Source organism: Homo sapiens, chromosome 1 (assembly GCF_000001405.40).
Source record: "Homo sapiens chromosome 1, GRCh38.p14 Primary Assembly".
Classification (NCBI taxonomy): domain Eukaryota; kingdom Metazoa; phylum Chordata; class Mammalia; order Primates; family Hominidae; genus Homo; species Homo sapiens.
In genome coordinates this window covers 80,720,253-80,723,713 of record NC_000001.11, presented here as the reverse complement: position 1 = coordinate 80,723,713, position 3,461 = coordinate 80,720,253, and the positions used below count along the sequence as shown (strand labels likewise).

General features: G+C 38.5%; 1 annotated feature.

Moving 5' to 3' along the window:
- Nucleotides 231-838: an enhancer, noted in NCBI's record as "H3K27ac-H3K4me1 hESC enhancer chr1:81188561-81189168 (GRCh37/hg19 assembly coordinates)". NCBI's record gives its function as "activates a minimal SCP1, AML or CMV promoter by ChIP-STARR-seq in primed H9 embryonic stem cells {active_cell/tissue: H9 hESC(primed)}" and the evidence as "EXISTENCE:reporter gene assay evidence [ECO:0000049][PMID:30033119]".

The following is a 3,461-nucleotide window of genomic DNA, read 5'->3' as shown; positions in this document are numbered from 1 at the left end:
ACATTTCTTATAACATATATAATTATAACATTTAATTTTTATGCCATATATATAACATATAACAAAATAATATATTTTGAAATCAAGATCATCAAGTCTTATGTTGACATTTTAATCGTGTCAAAACTATGCATACCGATAAAGGAAAATGTCAGCAAAATGACACCTAGAGACACCTGACATCTATCCCCCAACAAGAAAGGACCAAGGTAATGAATAAACAGGAAAGATTTATCTGCAGTATCAAAGGGGGATTGTTAGAATGTATTTGGGGAGTGGAGAGGCACCTCTGGTGACTGGAAGTTCAGGAGGACATGCAGCCTCTGCAGTACCATCTTCCCCACATGGATTGAATTTGCCTGGCATCATGAGTTACTTCCTGTTGGGAGAAAAAAGTGTGCCCTCCTTGGGGTGGGGGCAGGAGCCACTGCACCTTCCCAGCACTGGGGCACCATCTTCATTATGCCAAGCCCACATTGGTAGTCGAATGCCACAACCTCAGCACTGCAGAGCTTGGGCCCAGGATCAGCTGTGACTTTGAGTTGTGCATAGTAGGGAAACCAACTACTATTCCCCTTACTTCCAGCCAGAGGAACAGTCTGGTAGTCCTGCCCATTGTGAAACTGCCCTTAGCAACCAAACCACTTCATACTCTCCTCTATGTGGTGGAGGCCCTCAAGTATCTGAGCAGCTGACATGGTCCTCAGCTGGTGGAGTGGCAACGTACTTTTACCCAGGGCCTAAGAAACAGCCCCATGGTACCCATCCCACTACAGATAAGCCCCTGGCCTGCCCAGTGGCCCTGTACCTGCTTTAGGGCTTGAGAAACAGCTGTGCAGGCCCCCTTGGCTGACCACCCCAGGCCAACCAAGCATCTGTGCACCCACAACCTTGGAGTGAGAAACAGCTCCACAAGCTGCCCCTGGAAGGCAAGCCCACAGCCAGTCAAGCAGCTGTGTGTCTGCTGGGCCCAAGAAACAGCCCTAGAGCTGCCCCTGGCTTGTCAGCCTCCAGGCCAACTGAGTAGTACTGCACCCACCTCCTGCTCCTGAGAAACATCCATATGGGCCACCCCAGCAGACACACTCCCAGGCCGGGTAAGCAGCTATGTGCCCATGTCCTGGGTCTGAGAAACATCCCCGTGGGCTGTCCCTGGCAGGTATGCCCCAGACCATTCAAGCAACCATGTGTATGTGATCTTAGCCAGAGGAACAGACCTATAGCCCTAATAGCAGCCCCAAGTCGGTCGACCTGGGGCAGGTACATGCCTCTGACCTGAAAAACCGCCTGATGAACCTACCCACAGCAAAGCCACACCATGGCCACTATAGCCTATGTCTTTGAGATACTTGCAAACATCACTAGCATAGATGACAGCTGAAGAAATGACATAGAGACGATACTACTTCATCCACTTATAACCAAAGCCAATGCACCCCAGCAAACTGGCACTCCAAGAGCCATTCTTAGAAATGTATTTCCCTACGAAACCTACTTCATAAAACTAGAAGAGATGACTGTTACACCAGATGTTTAGAAATCAGTGTAAGGACACATCAAACCTGAAAAAGCAAGGAAATGTGACAACTCCAAAGGAACACAATTATTATCCAGCAACAGACATCAATAATGAGAAAATATACAAAATGCCAGAAAAAGAATTTAAAATAATAATCTTAATGAAATTCAGTTAGGTAGAAGAGAATACAGATAGATAATTGAATGAAATCAGTAATATAATTCATGATTTGAATGAAAAATTCAACAAAGAAATAGGATTTCTGTTTGGTTCTTTTTTTGTAATATCTAACAGCTGAAGAATTCAATGAATGAAATAAAAAAAAAAATAGTTTCATAACATAGACCAAGCAGAAAAAAGAATTCCTGAACTTCAGGAAAGATCATTTGAAATAACACAAGCTGACAAACAATTTAAAAAGTAAAAAAGAATAAGAGAATAATAAAAATTAATAAAGAAAACCTAAAGAATTTGTGGGATATTATTAAATAAATAAATGTTCACATTATGAGCATTCCAGAAGAAGAGAAGGGAGAAAATTGTAGAAAAATATTTAATTAAATTGCTGTGAACTTCCCAGGTTATGAGAGAGATGGGCAAAACACATCTCAAAAATAATGGAATTAAACAAAAAATTAGTAACAAAAGAAACGTTTGAAACTATACGAATGCATGGAAGTTAAACAACATGCTCCTGAATGACCAACTGGTAAAAGAAATTGAAGTTCAAAAAATTCCTTGAAACAAGTAGAAACACAAAATACCAAAACCTATGGGTTATTGCATAAGCAGTATTAAGAGGGAATTTTATAGCAATATGTGCCTACATCAAAAATCTAGAAAGATTTCAAATGAGCAACATAACAATGCATCTTAACGAACTAGAAGAGCAAGGAAAAGCCAATCCCAAAATTAATAGAATGAAATCATAAAGATCAGAGCAGAAAGAAATGTAATTGAGACAAAAACATATATTAAAGATTAACAAAACAAGAAGATGAATAAAAAATAGACAAAATCAACAAACTGTCACTAAGAATAAGAGAGAAGGTTCCAATAAATAAAATGGGAAACAGAAAAGGAGTCATCATAATGGATACCCCAGGATTACAAAGGATCATTCGAGACTGCTATGAACAGCTATAAGGAAACAAATTTGACAACTTAGAGGAAATGAGTAAATTCCTGAAAACATATCACTTACCAAGAATGAACAAAAAGAAATAGAAAACGTCAACAGAATAATAACAAGTAATGAGATTGAATCAGCAATATAAGTTTCTCAACAATTAAATGTCCAGAAGCAGATGGCTTCACCACTGAATTCTACTGAACCTTAAAAGAAAAATTAATGCCATTTTTTCTTAAACTATTCCAAAACATTGAAGGTGAAGGTATTTTTATAACTTATTTTATGAGGCCAGTATTATCCTGATAGCAAATCCAGACAAAGAAAACACACACAAGGAAACTGTAGGCCAATATCCCTGATTAACATAGATGCAAAAATCCTTAATAAGATACTAACATACTGAATCCAACAGCACATCAAAAGTTAGTACACTGTGATCAAGTGGGATATATGTCAGAAACACAAGTATGACTTAACCCACACAAATCAATAAACATAATACATCACATCACAGAATGAAGAACAAAAACCATATGATCTTCTCAATAGATAGAGAAGAAAGCATTTGATAAAATTTAATATCCCTTTATGATACAAACTGTCAATAAATTAGGTATAGAGGGAAAGTACCTTGACACAATAAAGGTTATATGTGACAAAGTCACAGCTAATATACTGAACTGGGAAAAGCTTTTAGTTCTGAGAACTGAAAGAAGACAAGGATGCCCACTCTCACCACTCTTATTCAACACAGTACTGGAAGTCCTAGCTAGAGAAATTAAGCAAAACAAGAAAATGAAGGGAATTTAA